The sequence below is a fragment of the Homo sapiens genome, chromosome 4, assembly GCF_000001405.40.
Source record: "Homo sapiens chromosome 4, GRCh38.p14 Primary Assembly".
NCBI lineage: Eukaryota > Metazoa > Chordata > Mammalia > Primates > Hominidae > Homo > Homo sapiens.
This window is the reverse complement of record NC_000004.12, coordinates 4,421,588-4,440,760: the sequence shown is the minus strand read 5'-3', so window position 1 is coordinate 4,440,760 and position 19,173 is coordinate 4,421,588. Positions and strand designations below refer to the sequence as shown.

Here is a 19,173-nt window from a genome sequence, read left to right as displayed (position 1 = left end):
TTTTTTGTTAAATTTTGTAGAGGACCATTTCCTAAATAGTCTTTTTGAGAAAACTGCTCTCAAAAAACTCTGTGAAGAGAGTGTCTGCAATCAGGTTATTTGCAAATACCATCCTTTTTGGAAATTCAAAATGTATTTGAGCATATTAAAGGCTCTGAAAACTTATATAGTGAAACACCTTTCTAGCTTTGACTCAGCTTTCTCAGACTGATTCGACCACAGAAGTCCTTTCCCACAGCCCAGGATGGGTAGAATATACCCCACATGGAGCAGTTGTTACGAGCATGGGCTTCAGAGCTAGGTTCCCTGAGGTCATGTCCCAGCCCAGCCATTTGCTGACTGTGACCTGGGCAAGTTTCCTAACTTCTCTACACCTCAGTTTCCTCCTTTGTTAAAAGGTTGTTAATACTAGTACCTACCTGATGGGGATATTCGAAATTAAATAAATTTATCCATACAAATTGCTTAGAAAAAATGTCCACTATATGAGCCATTAACAAATGTTAGCTGGCATTAGTAATATCACCCTAATATGCATTTACATTGTTCCTTTAATTACAGTCTCTCTGCCTAACAATATGGAATTTATCCTAGATAGCACTCTGCCTATAATTTTATAGCATTTATGTAGATTCTAGTAAAGCTATTACAAAGCCTGTTATTGCATAACCTAAACGTTTTCTTATTAACCAGTTACTTGTATTTATAATGCACTCATTCATTCAACATATATTTATGCAATGGAATACCAGGCACTAATCCAGAATCTGGGATCTAGGAGCAAGGCTGACAACCAACAGATAAATAAACAGGGGGATTATAGACTGTGATAACTGCTATGGAGAAAACAGATGCAGAGGAGTGGGAGGCGGCCTTTCCTTCACAGAAGAGTCAGAGGTGGCCTCTCTGAGTAGGTGAAATTGAGCTGAGCCCTGTAGATGGGAAGGAAGACGATGCCCTGGGAAGAGCCCGTGGGGAAGAAACAGGGGAATGCCAAGTGCAGAGGACTCAGTCCTGAAACAAGTCTGTGCCTTCAAGTGGGTATTTAAGGACTTGTGCTTTCAGAGCTAACTTATATTAAGATGTGACTTAGAACATATACGTGTGTGGGTATAGGTATATATATGTGTGTGTATGAGTATATATGTTGGGGGGTATGTGTGTGGGGGTGTGTGTGTGTATATATATGGGTAGGGGGTATATATGTGTGTGTTTCTGTGTGTGTATGTGGGAGTATATGTGTATGTATATGTGGGGGTATATATGAGTGTGTGTGTGTATGTATATATGTGTATGTAGATATATGTGTGTGGGGGAGGGTATATGTGGGGGGTATATATACATATCTGCACATATATGGTGTGTGTGTGTATGTAGGGGGTATATATGTGAGTGGGGGGTATATATATGTAGTATATGTATGTGGGTGTGTATATATGGTATGTGTATATGTGTGGGTATGTGTGTGTATATATGTGTGTGTGTTTATGTGGGTGAGTATATGTGAATATATGTATGTGGTGTGTGTGTATATGTGGGGGATATACATGCATGTATGTATATATATGGGGTATGTGTGTATGTAGGGGGTTATATATGTGTGGGGGGTATATATATGTGGTATATATATTGTGTGTATACATGTGGGGGTATGTGTGTGGGGGTATATGTGTGGTGGTATATATGTGTGTGGGTATATATGTGGGAGGGTATGTATATATGTGTGCATGGGTATATATATGTGGTATATATGTGTGTGTGTGGTGTGTGTATATGTGTGGGTATACATGTGTTGGGGGTATATATGTGTGTGGGGGTATATATATATATATGAATATATGTATAATATGTATTATATATTATTATTAATAACATACTCAGCAATCTTTTTGCATTAGTGTCAACTACTGGGTAAGCATCAATCCAGCTTCCTGGGTTTGTTGAGTGCGGTGTGTCAGTCTATGGAGCGTATTCAGCACATACCAACTGCAGCCTCCCCCTGCATGCTGGTCACTGTGCCGTGGCTGCAAATGCAGAGGGCATGCACAATCTCTACCCTGCAGGCAATAATGCCAGTGTTAAGTGCCCCAGTGGAGGTGTGTCCGGATGGCCACTGGGCCCAGAGGCAGTGACTGCTCCCCAGTACAGGGACACAGAGCAAAAGCGCAGGGTCACATGTGACTCCTTCTGTTTTCAAAAAGGAATCCTGTTATGGAAATAAAATACCTGCCTGCTAATTATTTATTTTTAGATCTAAGCTGGAACCAGAACCAAATACAAAGACAAGAGAATCCACATCTTCTGAGAAAGTTTCACAGAGTCCTTCAAAAGACTCTGAAGAAAACCCTGCCACTGAAGAACGTCCAGGTACGAATTGAGATGAAAATCTCACCTTGCATTTCTTCCTTGTGACATGTTGGCAAGAGTACAGCACAGGAACGAAGTAGCACAGTCTCAGACATGTTTTGGTGTTTGTATTTGCATAAAGCAAAGGAAGCAGGAGGCGGCAGCCTTTGTGTCTGTCACAGTTGATCTTCGTGAGTGCCACAGAGGCAGGGGGTGCATTCACCCAGTCACCTGGGAGCTGGCGGGGTCCGGGAGAAAGGGCCTGCTGGAGGGGTGAGGCCGGGAGCTGTCTGCCTCAGGAGCCCTGTGTGCCGGCCTCAGGAGAGGCAGCATTGCCTCCCTGGCAGCCATGCCCTGCATGTCAGCTCTGAGCTGCCAGGCCTGCATCCGGGTAGAGTGTATAACCTCAGCAGCCTTGCACAGCCAGTCAAACCAACAGGACAAAATGCAAATCTGAATTGACGTGCTGCCTATCACCACAGATACTAGAGGGCCCATGGCTTAGAATAGTTCCTGATGCACAGGAGATGCAGAAGAAATACAGGGTCTCCATGAAGTCCGAAAATGTAGGGGGACATACACAGTGTGGTCATGGATGTCTGCGATCTGTGTGTCTGGCTGGTACCCCTGCGTAGGGATGCCTGCATAGTTTGCCATATCTCAAAGGCAGAGTGGAGCAGGGTTCTTTGTGTGAATCACAGGGTGATGGCGTGCTGGAGCCAGGAGAGACCTGGGAGTCCCCTTTAGCATCCTTCTCCGTAGTCTCATGGCAGTTCTTATTAACTCTTGTCTTCCAGATGCTAGGCATGGTCCTGGACATGTCACAGAAATTACAGGTTGAGTATCTCTTATCTGAAATGCTTGGGACCAGAAGTGTTTTGGATTTAGGGTTTTTTCAAATTTTTGCATATTTGCATTGTCCTTACCAGTTGAGCATCTCTAATCTGAAAACTAAAATCTGGAAAGCTCCAATGAGTATTTCCTTTGGGTGTCACATTGGAGCTCAATAAGTTTCAGGGATGTGATTCCTGCCCTCAGGGAGCTCACAGTTGATGGGAAAGATAAGGCTCTAGCCCCTGGGAGAAAGTAAGTAGTACCTCAAGAGAGAGCAGAGGGCCAGGGAGACTTCAAGAGGAGGTGGCACTAAGAAGTGAGTCTGGGCCAGGCGCAGTGGTTCACACCTGTAATCCCAGCACTTTGGGAGGCCAAGGCGGGTTGGATCACCTGAGGTCAGGACATCAAGACCAGCCTAACATGGAAAAACCCCATCTCTACTAAAAATACAAAATTAGCCAGGTGTGGTGGCACACGCCTGTAATCCCAGCTACTGGGGAGGCTGAGGCAGGAGAATCACTTGAACCTGGGAGGCGGAAGTTGCAGTGAGCCAAGATCGTGCCATTGCACTCCAGCCTGGGCAACAAGAGCGAAATTCCGTCTCAAAAAAAAAAAAAAAAAAAAAAAAAAGTGAGTCTGGACCTGAAAAAATAAAAAATGAAAGCTTAGAAAGTTCTAGACAGAGGCAGCAGCATGAGCAAATGCTCAGAGGCCAGAAAGCCTGGAGATTGGGTGGGATATAGTCAGTAAAGAAGACCCGTGGGGATCAGTGAAGCCCATCAGTGGGAGGAGAGGTGGGAGTAAGCTTGGAAGGGTGGGTAGGGCCTTGAATGCCAGAGTAGGGAGTCTGGACTTGCCTCTGTGGCACCAGGGTGCACGGGTGGCCTGGGCAGAGGACTGGCATGGTGGGTGCTGTGCTTCAGGCTGATCCTTAGGGCAGCCTATCAAGAAGGCTTCTGATGGCCACAAATGAGCATGTTGTAGAGTGTGAGTTCTGCTAAGAAAACTTTCCCATTCTAGCTCAGAGTTAATTTATGCTTGGTTCAGATATGAACAAGGTTTCTGTTTCTAATTTTGATGTTTTTTTCCTTAAAAAAGAAATCAACAACAGTAAAAGCTTGAAATGGATACCATAATGAGGACAAGTAGGAGACAGCTCATAAGGTGGGGGTGGGGGGTAGATGAAAGTACAAATGTTCCTACCCAAAGAATGTCATCTCAGGAAAATATCAGATCATTTCTAAAGATACTTTTAGCCAACCTTTTACAAACACATGTTTTTCTATAATGACACTTCTGGTAAAAACAGCCATTTTTCTAAAAGCCTGCATGCACTAAGTTGTGGATGACATGCAGTTTTTTTTGTAAAGATATATTTCTAATAAATAACCATAACTTTCAGGCATGGCCTGCCTAGTGAGCTTTCTCTACATTGTTGCTATCATTACGTTCTCTTCCCCTATTTAAAGATCTGGACTTGTTGCCATCTCATGGGGCTGAGACTGACTACAGGAAATTTACTGAGATTGAGGAAAAAAGGAAAAAGAAGCAGTATTTGCCTTTGAGTACTTGGAAGCTCACTGATAAGCCCTGAGACACAGACACAAAGTGACTTCATTACAGTCTCCCCCGAGGATCCATCCCTGCCATCCCTCTCCCCTCCGCTCCCAACCCTACCCCGGTGATGAACTGCACAGACCTCTTACCGTCATCCTGGGCGGCAGCAGTCCTTTCTAGGGGCCTGTGGTATTGACATGCTTCAATGGAGGATGCATCACCTTTCCTTGATCATAATGAAAAAGTTCTCCAGATTAAAATGTTCCTACGCTCCCTTTCAGCAGTTGCATGCCCAGGTATCTGTCCTAGAGAGTCACTCCAGCATGTGCACATAGCACAGACCGGGACACAGTACCATGACACCAGTGAACAGTCTGAAACCACTGAGGTCTGTCAGCGTAGTTATGGCTAAAGACCAGTGTATCCTCACGATGGAATATCATGCAGCAATTTAAAAGAACAAGGTAGATCTACTTGGACCATCTCCAAGATGTATCAATAAATCATACAAAGCAAGTTTTAGAACAGCATGTTACTATTGATATCTGTGTGAAAAGCAAGCCGCCATACACACAAAACTGTGTATTACTTGAATTTCATGGGTAGACAGGGACTCATATATCTTTGTATGTGAATATCTTTAGATAAAATCTATGAAGCTACATCAAAGCAGTAACATCTGGGAGAGGAATAGGATTGGAGAACAGTATATCACTTCCTGTATATATATATATATGTATGTATATATGCATATGTATTTTTTACAATAAAAATATGTCTTACAGTCTTTAAAAGTAGACAGGGGTGTATGTGTCTTGAAGTAAAACATACTTTAAGACTCATTCTGAAGAATTCTGAAGACATTCTGAATAATGTCCATTTAGTTTGCAGCCATTGCTGACATCAGTGCGATACTGAAACCGTGCATAGGTCCCCCTCCCCATCACACACACACATGCACGTGCCTGCACAAAGACAATTTAAAGCCTAAATGTTGTGAAAGAATCATGTCTGCAGTGCCTGAATATTAGCCCAAAGATCATGAAATATATAGACAAAGCTGTAAGATTCTGTTTAATCTCTTGTTTGTGTTATGACTACATCCTAAGCCAGCCTATTCTAAAACACATATTTGGTCTTCTATTTTCAATTTTTTTTTTAACAGAAAAAATTTTGGCTGAAACACAACCTGAATTGGGAACGTGGGGAGATGGCAAAGGCGAAGATGAGTTATCCCCAGAAGAAATACAAATGGTAATGCTATTCTCTGCCTAATTATTTATTTTTAACTGGTTTTCATAAGACTGTTTCACTAAGGAGAAACTCATCCTCAATGCCCTTGCCCTTATTTTTATACTGAGTTTTAAAAATTATAAATGTGTATTTTATATACACTTTCCCATTTGATTTCCTAATTCTTACGGTGCTTTTCATATGCTTTAAATTTGCAGTAGCATAATTAAAGAAGACATTTTGCCTTGGAAGAATTTTACTAATAATAGATGTCTTTTCAACAACAGTAAAATAGTCTTCTAGACTAAATGGGTCTTTTATAAATGCCACTATGATGCTTTTTAATTGTTTGAATTGCTAGTGCTATGGTAATGTGAAAAAAGTAAGATAATGACTGAAAAGTGAAAAGAGTAACACCTTAACTACTGATAGCACCTCCTTTTAGTTACCTGCCTTCTGGTTTCCAGCTGCTATAGCTTACCATCTATGGGTGGGTTTCAAAAGGAACTGATAGGTCTGCCAAGCCCCTGCCAGCTCACGTCCAGCAATGTCTGTGTGCAGCTCATCTGGACACTGGTGTGACAGAAGCCAGATGGAATATGCTATCTGTGTGTGGGAATAGATGTCACCTAGAGCTGCTAGGATGTGACACTGTCCTCTAAGACGTGGGGAATGTGACTACCACACGGCACGCCTCCAGTGACTGTGCCTGGCAAGTGATAGCATTTTAAGTGTGCAGCAGTTTGCAGTAGACAAAACTTTTTGATTCTCATTTTATCCATGATACTTTTAATAATTGCACAAAGAGGTGGTGGAACATTAGCATCTCATTTTAACATTGGCAAAAGGCAGCAAAGGGTCTTGCCCAGAGTCCCCTAGTTAATCAGGGAAGAGCTGGATTTCCAGCCCTCAAGAAGATAAGGAGTGGAGCATGAAGACAGCTCTGTTGAGGAAGAATGGGATCCAGTCTTTCCCCAGCCTTGAGCTTCTCAGACTGAGGCGTTTGTGTTGCTGCTTAAGCCACCTGAAATTTCAAGCTCTCTCTATCCACTCCTGGCATGTCTTACAGGTCTCAGGTATTTTTTCCTCAGACAGACCCGGCAACCCCACCTACAGCAGCTCCCAGATACTGTGTCCCATGACCCTACTTGATTTCCCGCATAGAGCACAAGCTCTGTGAGAGCAGAATCTTGTCTTGTTTTCCTCACCCAGAGCCCAGAACAGTGTTTGGGAATTCTTTTTTTTTTTTTTTTTTTAATTTATTTTTTTTATTGATCATTCTTGGGTGTTTCTCGCAGAGGGGTATTTGGCAGGGTCATAGGACAATAGTGGAGGGAAGGTCAGCAGATAAACAAGTGAACAGAGGTCTCTGGTTTTCCTAGGCAGAGGACCCTGCGGCCTTCCGCAGGGGAATTCTTTGTTGAATGCATGAGTGACTTTGATGAGTATAACATAAAAGCTATAGGTTGTTTTCAATGGTAAAATGGGATCATCAGTAATAACTATTAGAATGTTCTAGTGTTCAGTTATTACTAGTATTATGGATACTTATGAATGCCTTCTCTATCCCAAGCCTTTTACATATGTTGTCCTGTTGAATCTTCATGACAATCCAGTCAAGTAGGAATTATCACTATTACACAGTTGAAGAAAATGACGCACAAAAACTAAAGCCCTACCCAACGTCACAGAACCAGTAGAGCAGCAGAGCCAACCTTTGGCTCCAACCTGTGCTTTTTTTCCAGTTGGTTCTGGTGGTCTAGGCAAGTGTTGCTGCACAGGAGCAGCGTGGCACACTGACACAGGCCAGCCAGGCAGAGAAGTCAGAACAGCCGCGCCGGCCCACCGAAGTGTCATTGTAAGCATAGTTGTGCAGGCTGGGGACCTCCAGGGATGGCCAGGTCCACATGTCTGCTCTCGTGAGCATTGGCCGCCAAGGGCAGAGGACTGGCTCAGCATCCTCTTGCTCTTTGGACTTCCTGTTTCTTCTCCATGCCTGAAATAAAAGACGGAAACCAAATCTCTTTCCTAAAAATGGCATGGACAAGTGAAGACAAAAAAGCCAAAAGGTAGCACAGCCTAGTGGGAACAGTGTACTGTCTGACTGGAGTCCACACGCAGCCTCATCATTGCAGCCCTGGGCCCTCTCACTGCTCTGGACCTCTGTTCCCTCATCTGTGAGATGGGCAAAAAATGGCCACCCCACAGGTGGGGCTAAAGTTTGAGTGAGCTGGCCCATGAGGTGCATGCAACAAAGAGCCAGACACATGGGGTGCTTGAAAAATTCTGTTTCCCCTTCCTTTACCCTTGAGAGTGGCAGGTTGTACAAAGAGGCAGAAGAGCCTCTCCCTGCACAGGATGGAAGAGATTGGGCATAGCTGCCCGTGTGCCATGAGCAGGGAAGGACTGTGGCATGCATGCCATCATGGCAGGGTCAGGGCATGCAGGATGGCAGCTGGAGCTCAGACCATTTTCATATGCCTTTCATATACAATTCAGTTTCACACAGATTTATCCACCCAGATGAGTGGTTTCCCCTTTAAAATCATCGCCTTGAAAGCTTGAAACTGATTCCAGTGATGGTACCATTAGCCCTGACTTTCCTGAGACTTGCTTTGGGGGTTCTCCTTCAGAGCCTGTGATATTTTCTTTGGAATACTAAGCAGAGCTGTCTTTGTCCTTTACAGACAAAAATAATTCTGAACTAAGAAAATGACTCAAACACCTTAAAGTGCCCTGCAAGGTCCTTGCCTTCCTTTCCAGCTTCTTTCATGTTCCAGAATTCACCTTATGACTTGAAATAAGTGCTCACCAAATCCAGCAAATGTGGGACCTAGGCCCTCGAGGTGCACATTGTATAGTCGGTGGTTAGAGGAAGACAGCCGCAGGGATTCCAAGCAGTCATTGCTGTCAGTCAGGTTGAGAGATGAGGAGGGCCTTGAGCCGGGAGTGGCAGTGAAGGTAGTGTTGAGAGCTGTGGTGTAGGAAATGGCCTGCACTGAAGTGTGAGATGAGGAAGGAACCTTGAGCTTTCTGACGTGGGTCATCAGGAGGAGGGAGGGTGCACAGAAGGTGGGCAGGCTGGGGCTGAGCAGGAGATGATGAATTTCATGTAGACAGGTGTGAGTTTGAGGCGCCTGTGGGACATTCATGAGAGGTGTCTATGGGCTCCAGGGCTCGGGCTAGAGAAACGCATGTGGGAGACATCTTACAGCTGATGTTTGAAGGATGGGCTTGCGTGAGGCTCTCTAGAAACATGATGAACAGCGAGAAAGGAGAAGGGGTCATGGACACCACCCTGGGGTACACTCCACTGGAGGGAGGCTGGGGCGGAGAAGCCAACAAAGGAATGTAAAGAGGGATTGGATCATATTCCCGTCCTACAGCCAAATAATGGCAGAAGTTTCTTAAAAATCTCTTAGGTTTTCACCGGTTTATATGAAATCCTTGTATTAGTGGAAATGAGTCGTTTCCCCAAATATTATACCATTGCCCCATTTCTTTGCTAGACAAAAAATGTGTACAGCTCTGTCTCTTCATTAAGAAAGAATACGTTTGTATTTAAGAAGAGTTTACCTTCTGTGTTGGGCTTTTTTTTTCTTTCTTTCTTTTTTAATGCACTCCACCACTCTTCATAAAGGAAATAGCTAGAATAACAATAGTGTGGGTTGTTTGTCTGAGGATTTTTGCCTTTCTCTGGCAGGCAATGGTGAGCTAAGCATGTTAACCTTTACAGCTGCGTGACTTAGCAGCCTGTAGGTGTGAGAGTTGGACCAGAGGAAGGCTAGCAGTGAGGATATTCGTAATCACCTGATGCTCTCATCCTGTGGAGGGATGATGAAAGAACATAGGCTTTGGGACTAGACAGAGTTGGCTATGAATTTATACCACTTACTATCTTTGTAAGCTGAGGCAAGAAATCACTGCCATCAGTGATCTCTTCAGAATCAATACCCCACAGAATTGTCTCAAGCGCTGGATGCAGTAGCACCTGTAAGAGCACCCAGCAGAGGGCAGGGCAGAGCAAATGGTGACTCCCTCCCACCAGAAGGATACTGCCATGTCTGTGCATTGTGGCATGCCCTGCACGTGTTTTAGCAACTGATATGTCAGAGTACGGCTCCTCTCCCCACATTGAGGTTGATGCAGCATGCTTCTGTTTCATTCCACTGTCCCGAGTCATTGTCTAAAGACACCAGCGGCCACTCCCAGTAACACTGGTAGCTCTAGCATGGTAGTATCAATGACTAAAGCAATCAGAATCAGCAGGACTTCCTAATTTTTATTGTGTTACTGCAAGAGGATCGGGCAGAAGGCTGTAATGTTCAGTACTTTTATGACAGGCTATTTAATGTCCAGTTAACTTCTTTCTTAATTGGGAATAATAGCTAAGTACCATATCTTATAGTCTGACTAACTCAAATCTTATTTAAAAGGCTTAACTTTGAAAATAAAGAGAAAGAAATACAACACTGTTGGTTTTAAATTGGAAAATATTGTAGCAAATCGTGGTCATAATTCATAATCACTGTTTCGGAATTTTTCCTCAGGGTAAAATAATGAATTAAGCCCAATAATAGCAATATAATTCATTGTTTCACCCAAAGGAACAGTTATTACATATTTCAAAATGGTTGCAGGGTATTATATGATTTGCACAATAAATTTCCCTATATAACTCATGATACAGGTATATTAATGCCTTTGAGTTTGCAGGTGTTTGTGGTCAGGCTGAGTGGAACCAAATTGTTTTCCAAAGTTACATCAAGAAAATTTCTCCCTTTCTAAACACACATTCACTTTACTTGCCTCAGGTAAAACCACCTGCATTTATTGATGTACTCCTTGGGATAATTTTTTTAAAACATGAATGTGGCTTCTGTTTCTTAAATCCACATGAAAGGCGTCTTCCAAGGCCCTGTCCCCTGAGGTAGGCCTGTAGAAACTCCCAGTGGCTGGCTGGCAGGGCTCGCCAGTTTTCAGCTCATGCATCTAGAACAAGGATTGGTGGAATCTGAATACCACATAGTGAGAGCTGGACAGACCCTGGGGAGGTTCCAGGTTTACAGGGGCACAGCAAATGCTGGCTTCCACCAGAAGGATACGGCAGAGTCCGTCTACTGTCACATTATGGGGATCATAGGGGATCGAGGTGAGGGTCACACAGCCAGAAGTGTGAAGGGGTTTGGTACAGAGAAAGCACGTCTGGAAGAGTCCAGAAAGGGCTGGGCAGGGGACTCCTGAGCTATGAGGGCCAGAGGGCTTTCTGGGATGGTCCCCCTGTGCTCCTCAGCTTTTCTTGGCTCTTTGTGACACAAATACTTCTCTTGGCGTCATTTTATACTGAAAGGCCTTTGTAGGAGTGATTTTCTTTTGAAAATTATAGTAAAGAGGATTAGATTAGAAAAGGATTTCTATAACAATATATTCACAATGTGGATTTGTATCCTTTAAACCAGATTAGAAACCTTTTAGCAGGGCTTGATTGGAAAGTCTAACTGACTTCTAAATGGGATAAAGCAGTTGAATAATGATATTGTCTAATGCGCATGTGACACATACCATGTGCCAAGTACTGCTCTGAGCCCTTCAGCATATGTTCATTTATGCAACCCATATGGAGAGAGTATTGCTGGCCCCGTTTTACAGAGAGCTTAAGTCACCAGCCCTAGGTCACATAGGTCCCAAGTCCTAGGCTGTTCAACATGATGCTGTGCTGCCATGGTTGGAGGGTGGGGGAGAGTGCTGGTCTAGCTGAAGGAAAGCATTGTGTTTTGGTAGGAGACCGTAACAGCGTAGAGCAGATGGGCCAATGCAGGGAGCCCAGAGCAGCGGCTGGCAACCACCATGCATGGAGGGCCCAACCTGCCCACCGTACCCACCATCTAGGCCTCTCACCTTCCTTTGCAATTCCATAGGAAAATAAGAATTTCCTTGATTGTGTTCAGGTTTGTCTTCACAAAGCATCTAGATACCCATCTGTCGTGCTGACCTTGGAGACCAGGTCTTTCATTCAGCACCGCACCTTGCAAAGTGTGGCCACAAAGAGACAGATACTAGCTAGTGAGGCTCAGCGAGCTCTGGAAGAAGATGCTATGGGTGCATTTCCCAGTGCCTGGGAGAGTGAAATGGCTGAGAGCCACAGCAGGCCTCTAGGACTTTGAGACTAGAGGGTAGAAGGGGTCCCACAGCATCTGACCGCTCATTTTGCATATCCAGAAACTGACACCCAAGAGATTAAATCATGATAGACAGCCTTCACCGAGAGCTTACTATATGCCATGCACTTTGGTAGACAACTCACATGTATTCACTCATGTATTCCTTCTAACAACCCCACTACTTAAGTACTGTTACTATCCCCATTTTAGTGACAAAGACAGAGACGCCCAGAGATTGTGACCTCCAAAACAGCTTACTGCTTAGAAGGTGAGGGGCTGGAAGTCCAGCCGTGACTTTGCATCCTCAGGGTCAGGCAGAAAAGGATAAGAATCACCACATCTGTCCCCAAAGAAACTGACAGGCCCACCAGAAGCCAGTGACTGGCCCAGCATTGCCCCAGGGTTCCTATAAGGCCCCCAGAACTGGCTCCCATATCCACGTGGTACATCCACCACTATGCCTGCCACCTGGCAACAGACGAAGGGAGGCACACAGGTTTGCCATTTAGACAGCGTTGGAAGCCATACTGAAACCTGGTACAAGTCAGTGTTGTCAGCAGCCTTGCCATGATCTAATTGTCCTGGGCCCTGCCAGCCTCCTTAAGTAATAGTGACCTTGTAGTTGTCTGGGAAATAGGCCTTTTGTTTTTTAAACACAGAGGCGGCTCTCCATTAAAACTCCTGGCCGTTGGCAAACCTCTCTCCTCAGCCCTTAGCACCTTTGATCCTTGAGGCACCTGCTTCTCTTCCTCTAGGGACTAGGTATTTTTCAGGTGGGGTGGAAGGAAATTAGAGCCAGCATCTGATCCCACTCCTGAGTGCAGTGGAGGGCGGACATGGAGCTATCAGAAGTTAACAATTACGAAGAGGCCTAAGAGGAGGTGCCGCACCTAAGTGCCTTATACCACAGGCCCTCAAATTGGGGAGGAAACAAGAAAAGCTTTGTTCCCAAGGAACAGTCCAGGAATGAATCACCCCAAACCACTAGTTAATTTTGTTTAGGAACAGTTTCAAAGCATAAAAGGGACTGTGGATTTAAAAGGTCAGGGCCAGGGCCATATTTTGTCATTAGAAAAATTCAAGAAAATGCCGCCACCCAGGGAAAGCTGAGTAGTACCTGAATTAGCCAAAGTGAATTGGCGCCTGCATGTTTTAGTAATTACATGTTTTCCTTAAATACTGTCCTCTTAAGTAACTGTTGAAGTTAACAGAGCGGATACTTTCAAACTCAAAAGTGAAAGTTTTACTCTCTTAAATAGCCTTTGTCTTGCCTAATTAAAGGGGCCATAAGCAATTCTGTGTCAGCAGCCAGCACGGCCCCCTGCTGTGGATGAGTTGGTCCTGCAGGGAGCTTTCCTGGCACTTCCGCCCTTCCCAGAGCTTTGCCCCTTCCCCGTTTTCTGGCCCGGTGGGTCTGGAGTGCAGCAGATGCCTCCTTGTGTTTTGAGTAGCCGGGGCCGAGAACTGGTGTTCTGTCATGTGTGAGGCCCTGGGCTGGGCTCAGTGTCCAAAGGAGGACAGCTGCCTTCCACAGAGAGAAGACAAGCCCCCTGAACAAGTGTGAGAAATGTCCTTGAAGAGCCAAGTACAGGGGAACTTGGTAACAAGAGTGAGAAAGTAAGAGAAGGTGATTCAGTCTGCCCTGAGGTATCAGATCGCTAGGAAGATGCCTGGGGTTTTGAGGGACCACGTGGAGTTCTGCAGCCAGGCAGGAAACTAGCCTGTCAGAGCAGAGCTGAGATGGGAGATGTCACGTGGCCAGGGCATGGATAACAGTGTGCCCTAGACCTGATCTGTAGGGTCAGCGGGCAAGGCCACCATGAGGCATTCTGGCATGACCAGCACTTGAGATCACTTTGACCAAGGATTGGATAACAGGTTGGAGGCAAGTGAGAAACGGTGAGGGTGGAATGTGGACGGTAGGGGAAGGGCTGAATACAGCAAGTGCATGTGCGGGGGCGAAACTGGTGGACTTAGGAAGGGGCGTGTGTGTGAAGAGCGCCTGCATAGAGCACAGCTGGGGTACTTGGAGGGGAGGGGTCCTGGGTGGGAAGGAGGCTGCTGGGGAGACCCTGCAACTCATTTCCGCCCTAGGACAATGGCAACAAGGTCAGGCTGTTGAATGAAGTGCCAGCATAGCCCGTGGTGGTCAGCTGCCTCCCATAACCATTGTTTCCCTTGTATTTTTGGTTTACTAAGCAAGTGATAAGCCAGATCTTCCATCGATTCGGAGCCTCCAGAGGCTTGCTTGTATGTATCCCTCCCACTCCTGCTTACAGAATGCCTCAGAAAATATTTGTGGATTTGATGGCAGCTTTAATCTATAAGAAAGAAAGAACAACTGGAATGCCTTTGCAAAGTTATGTTCCACCCAGTTCCCGCCCTCAGGAAGCTCAGGGTGACACGGGAAGTTTGGGATGGGCACAGTTTATTACAAGGCAGAAAGGGACCGTTGGGCGCTACTATCCTAAGATATTTTCAGAAAATGGTAGGCCAAGGATAGGAATATGAGAAATAAGTTTGAGCTTAGGGGCCAGGGTAGGTGTCCTGGAGAAGTGGGGCCTGCGGGATGCATCGGGGAGGAAATGCAGGACGCCCCTGACTCCCTGCACATTGCGGGAGTTGAGTGGACACACGAGGACAGGGCTGTGGGGGCCTGCAGTGAGGGCAAGGAGCTGTTCCTGTCCATTCTCTGTGCTGAGTTTCAGGAGCTTCCATCCTTTTCTTTGGCCCATATCAAACTGGCAAGAATGGCTGGGAGAGCAACTGTCTGTGCCAAGCTCACTCAGCTCCAAGAAGCTCCCATGTATCCCTGGTGTCAGGGCACCCGTCCTCACCCAGCCTGAGCACTGGGAAACACGCTCCTCTGGCTCTGGGCCTCTGTCCCTGTTGAGCAGTGGAGTGGCCAGGCTCTGAAGTCAGAGGGGCCCAGAGGCAGCTCGGCCAAGCTGCCCACCTCCCCTTCCTCTCCAGACCCTCCCCACACCAGATCCTTCTCCATATTAAAAAATATGTATAGTCCTTCAGTATAGTTCATGAGAGAAAACAACAACAAAAGAATTTTCTTAATAATGGTACTAGAGTCAGGAAGCAGGCCGTGGGATCCCAGGGGAGAGCGGGTAGGTAGATACAGCTACAGCCATAGCAGTCAGCTTGTACCCCTGGAGTGCAGTGGTTGAGATGGAGAAGTCAATTACCAGGCAGCACAGCTGTTTTTTAAAACTTTCTCCTGAAAGCAGGGACGTTGTTCACACTAATGCTAACGGTCGTCCAGCACCGGCTGCCACGTTGCCGCAGCTGGAAATGGGGGCTTCGGCAGTGATTCCTGGAGCGTAGGTCCGCTTTCTTGCTAGACTCTTGCCTAAGTTCAGTATGATGTCATCCTGAGTGTGTCTGTTTCCTCACAGTTTGAACAGGAAAATCAGCGACTAATTGGTGAAATGAACAGCTTGTTTGATGAAGTGAGGTATGTTTGTAGCTCCTCTGTGAGCTGATAGCCTGCTTTACAACTTTTCCAGGAACTAGGAACTTTATTTACCTTGGTGCCCAGGCATCCCCATGGGGCCCTTGGGCTGGTGCAGCCCCCCTCAGCCATTTTGACTGGGCTGGGGTGGGCATGTGGCCTGAATCCACAACTCCCTCAGCTTGTGGGCCTGTGGGTTACCTCCTGCCTGCTGCCACTGCTGCGGGGGGCCCAGGTGCTTCCCACCCCGAGAGATACAGGAGTGACTACAGATTACCTGCGTATAATTTCCACCACCATTCGGGCTGTTTCCACGCAGCGACTCTGAAATGAAATGGGGCCCTTATGAAGGGCAGCTAACCAAGGGAAGCCCTCTTCTGCAAATGGTTCCACTGGGGTCTGCCTGCTCCTGTACCCACCAGGGAGTCAGGAATGCAGAAGGCAAGGCCTTGGTCACTCACACATGCACCCGTTAGCCTCTAGTTTCTGTGGGAAGGCTTGGAGCATGCTGAAAGTAAGGCCCAGGACTTTGCAGAGCCTGTTGTATTGTGGACATGTCCCCCAAATAAAATCAATCCTGATGCTGCACTCACACAGCCTGAGGACTTTCTCAGTGTAGGTGTCAGCCTCCAAGGGGCTCTTCGCCTTCTGCCCTCAGAGATGGACCTCCTAGTCCTCCTCTGACAGCCTAGCTTTCACTGTCTGCCCCACTACCGCCCCCACCCCGCTACTCCCCCATGCCCAGATACTCACTGGCTTTTCTTCCCACATCTCCTCCCCTGCCCCCTGCCACTGTGATACTGTTGGGATTCATCACTGCTTCCACCTGGCCAGGAGCTCAGCTCCCACCACTTTTTGCCTCCTGTCACTTCCTGTCGCTGCTTTGTGCTGGAACAGCAGTTGACTTCAGCTTGGGCCAGCTTCTGTTTCTAAATAGATGTGCCCCCACCCGCCCCCCAGGGTAGCCCATGCTGCCCCTGACACCAGGAAGATGGCTAGCCCAAGTGTTTCAGATCCGACAGAACACTCCGTTGCCAAACCAAGACATGGCATTTTCTAAATGAATCAGAGGAGCTTTTTTCTTGGAACAGGGAGTTGGTTTGAAGGTAAATACACTTTTTTCTTTAACCTGCTGAGCATTAACAAAGCTGGATCATCAGCATATTCTGACCTTCTGAATCCCCACCATGTGTTACCATGGTGATGAGGCTAGGCAGAGAACTTACTGGAGACTGCTTTCTGTAACTGGGGCACAACCAGGCCCTCCCCATTCCCCGAGCAGTGACACAGAATGCAAAGGGCACTGCACACACCCACCTCTTGGGACTGAGGGTCAGTTGGCATGGTAGAGTGGACTTCCAAAAAGACCAGTGTGCTAGGCTATGCCAGAAGACAGGGAAGGTGACCCAGTAAGGAGAGTTCGCCTTCCTCTCCCATCTCCTCTTCCCCCAGCCGACACAGTGTGCCCCCTGTCTCTCCCACCTTCACGTAGAAGATAGGATTTCTTTAGAAGTGTGTAACAGTCCTGTTAGATTACCAAGTGCTAATAGTTAATATGTAATCTGTTCTTTTTATGAAGGCAAATCGAAGGGAGAGTGGTTGAGATTTCCAGACTCCAAGAGATATTCACGGAAAAGGTTTTGCAACAGGTAAAAAAACAAAAACAAAGGAGCTGTATGTTTTCACTCAAAGGGGAATGTACTTGAGAGCACGAGACATTTTTCCCAAAGGCTGCTGCTCTACACAGCCAGGAGCAGAGCCATGTGTTGCTAGCAGGTGTGTGTGCGCAGAGCTCCTCAGGGAAAAGCTCTCACTACCCAGAGCTGCCTCTGCACACGTGTGATGGAGGAGGAGCTCCCCACAGGGGACCCACTGACCACCCCATGTGGTAGCACATGCGGTGGCACGTGGGAGGAGAGTCCAGGCCTGGCAGTCAGGGTTCTGGATGTGCTGGGTAAGCTAGGTAGCCCCCACAAGCTACAGTTTCCCATCTATAGGAGGGAGGGACTCCTGCAGGGTTATTCTCTGTTTGAGAGATAACTGCAGAAGCATCCAGCACGATGCTGACGGGCAGTTGCTTTTCAGTCAGTAGGTTACAGGAGCTCAGACCCAGGCCTCTCACAACGCGCGGTCCATGCCACCTCAGGGATGGTGTCTGCGTGGGAAATAGGATTGTTCTTTTCAAGTGAATTTTCTGAAATTCTTCCAGCCAATAACTGGCAAAACTTTTCAAGACCTGATAAATTTGCCCTTTTATTTTTAGCATCCAAAGACTATGGGAACGTTTGAAAGACAAAATTTTCTCCAGTATTTTAAACTGGACTACTTGACTTAAGATACTTCACTCACAAAATGACTTTCCATAAACCACACAGCCAGAGTGAAATCATTGTAAATGAGGTACATTAAGTCTAACAGTGGTTTGCAAGTTCGGGTTCATAGGAGTCGCCCTTTTTAATAACACTACCCTGCTTCAAACCTCCCAGCGGCTCCAGGGGGCCTGGGAGGGGCGTGCAGAGCATAGGCAGAGCCTTGCCTTGGCTCACCGGGAGTTTCTTTTTCTTTTCTTTTTTTTTCTTTTTCTTTTTTTTTTTTTTGGAGACAGAGTCTTGCTGTGTCGCCCAGGCTGGAGTGCAATGTTGCTATCTTGGCTCACTGCAACCTCATCCTCCCAGGTTCAAGCGATTCTCCTGCCTCAGTCAGCCTCTTGAGTAGCTGGGATTACAGGCATGCCACCACGCCTGGCTAATTTTGGTATTTTTAGTAAAGACGGGGTTTCACCATCTTGGCCAGGCTGGTCCCGAACTCCTGACTTCAGGTGATCCACCTGCCTTGGCCTCCCAAAGTGCTGGGATTACAGACGAGAGCCACTGCGCCCGGCCCACTGGGAGTTCCTAAGTCCTGAGGAACAATGTGTCTTTCTTGTTTTTTCCATCAGTGTTGCATTGTAGTTCATATTGATTCTCTCATTGGAACCTTGGCAGTGGTCACTTAGTTCACACTTTGAGACTCTCTAAAAAGGGGTGATGATGAGGCAAAGCCATCCCAGTAATATTCATTGCTGGGAATCAGAGGCCACATGCTGCCTTCCTCCCTACAATGTGTCAGTCAGGTTTCTCTAAAAACCCACGCTAGCATTCATTCTGCCCTGACCCTGTTAGGAAGCAGCTTCACCACCACCGAAAGGAGGAGAGAAGCAGGCACTCCTGCTTGTAAGGACGTCTAGCACCGTCTCTGCTCCTGTGGGGCCAGACGCCCCCTGTGTTATCCCACGCTTCTCAAGCTTTTCAAGGCTTCGTTTGGAGTAAACGTTTTCTGTAAGCATCCTGCATCCTATTTTGATTTTTAAATTTTAGCCTGTTTTTTAAGAGATATGATGATAGTAAAACACAAAGCACTATTTTTGAAGCTAGCATATGTATTTCGAAGCACATACATTTTAAAGCTTACTTCTGTGGACTTCAGAAAGAAATGAGAGACTAGAAGGGAAGCCCCTGGCATATGGTGGCTGCTCCACAAACAATAGCTCTTAGGTTTTTGTCCGTCACCGGCGAGTGGCGCAGGAGGGATGGTAAGTGT

At 46.4% G+C, this 19,173-nt stretch overlaps 1 protein-coding gene across 5 annotated transcripts in view, besides 1 other annotated feature; it reads left to right on the top strand.

Annotated features, from left to right (window-relative positions):
- Positions 1-19,173, top strand: part of STX18 (syntaxin 18) — a 123,376-nt gene that overhangs the window by 101,583 nt on the left and 2,620 nt on the right. For 3 of the 5 annotated variants that reach the window (NM_001346282.2, NM_016930.4, NM_001346300.2), the window contains 4 exons: positions 2,252-2,367; positions 5,903-5,991; positions 15,539-15,597; positions 17,174-17,243. In NM_001346282.2, coding sequence (NP_001333211.1) covers positions 2,252-2,367; positions 5,903-5,991; positions 15,539-15,597; positions 17,174-17,243 — 334 coding nt within the window. The remainder of the gene's footprint in view (positions 1-2,251; positions 2,368-5,902; positions 5,992-15,538; positions 15,598-17,173; positions 17,244-19,173) is intronic. The other 2 variants (NR_144414.2, NM_001346281.2) reach the window with 1 other exon arrangement.
- Positions 13,198-13,741: an enhancer, noted in NCBI's record as "NANOG-H3K4me1 hESC enhancer chr4:4428747-4429290 (GRCh37/hg19 assembly coordinates)". NCBI's record gives its function as "activates a minimal SCP1, AML or CMV promoter by ChIP-STARR-seq in naive H9 embryonic stem cells {active_cell/tissue: H9 hESC(naive)}" and the evidence as "EXISTENCE:reporter gene assay evidence [ECO:0000049][PMID:30033119]".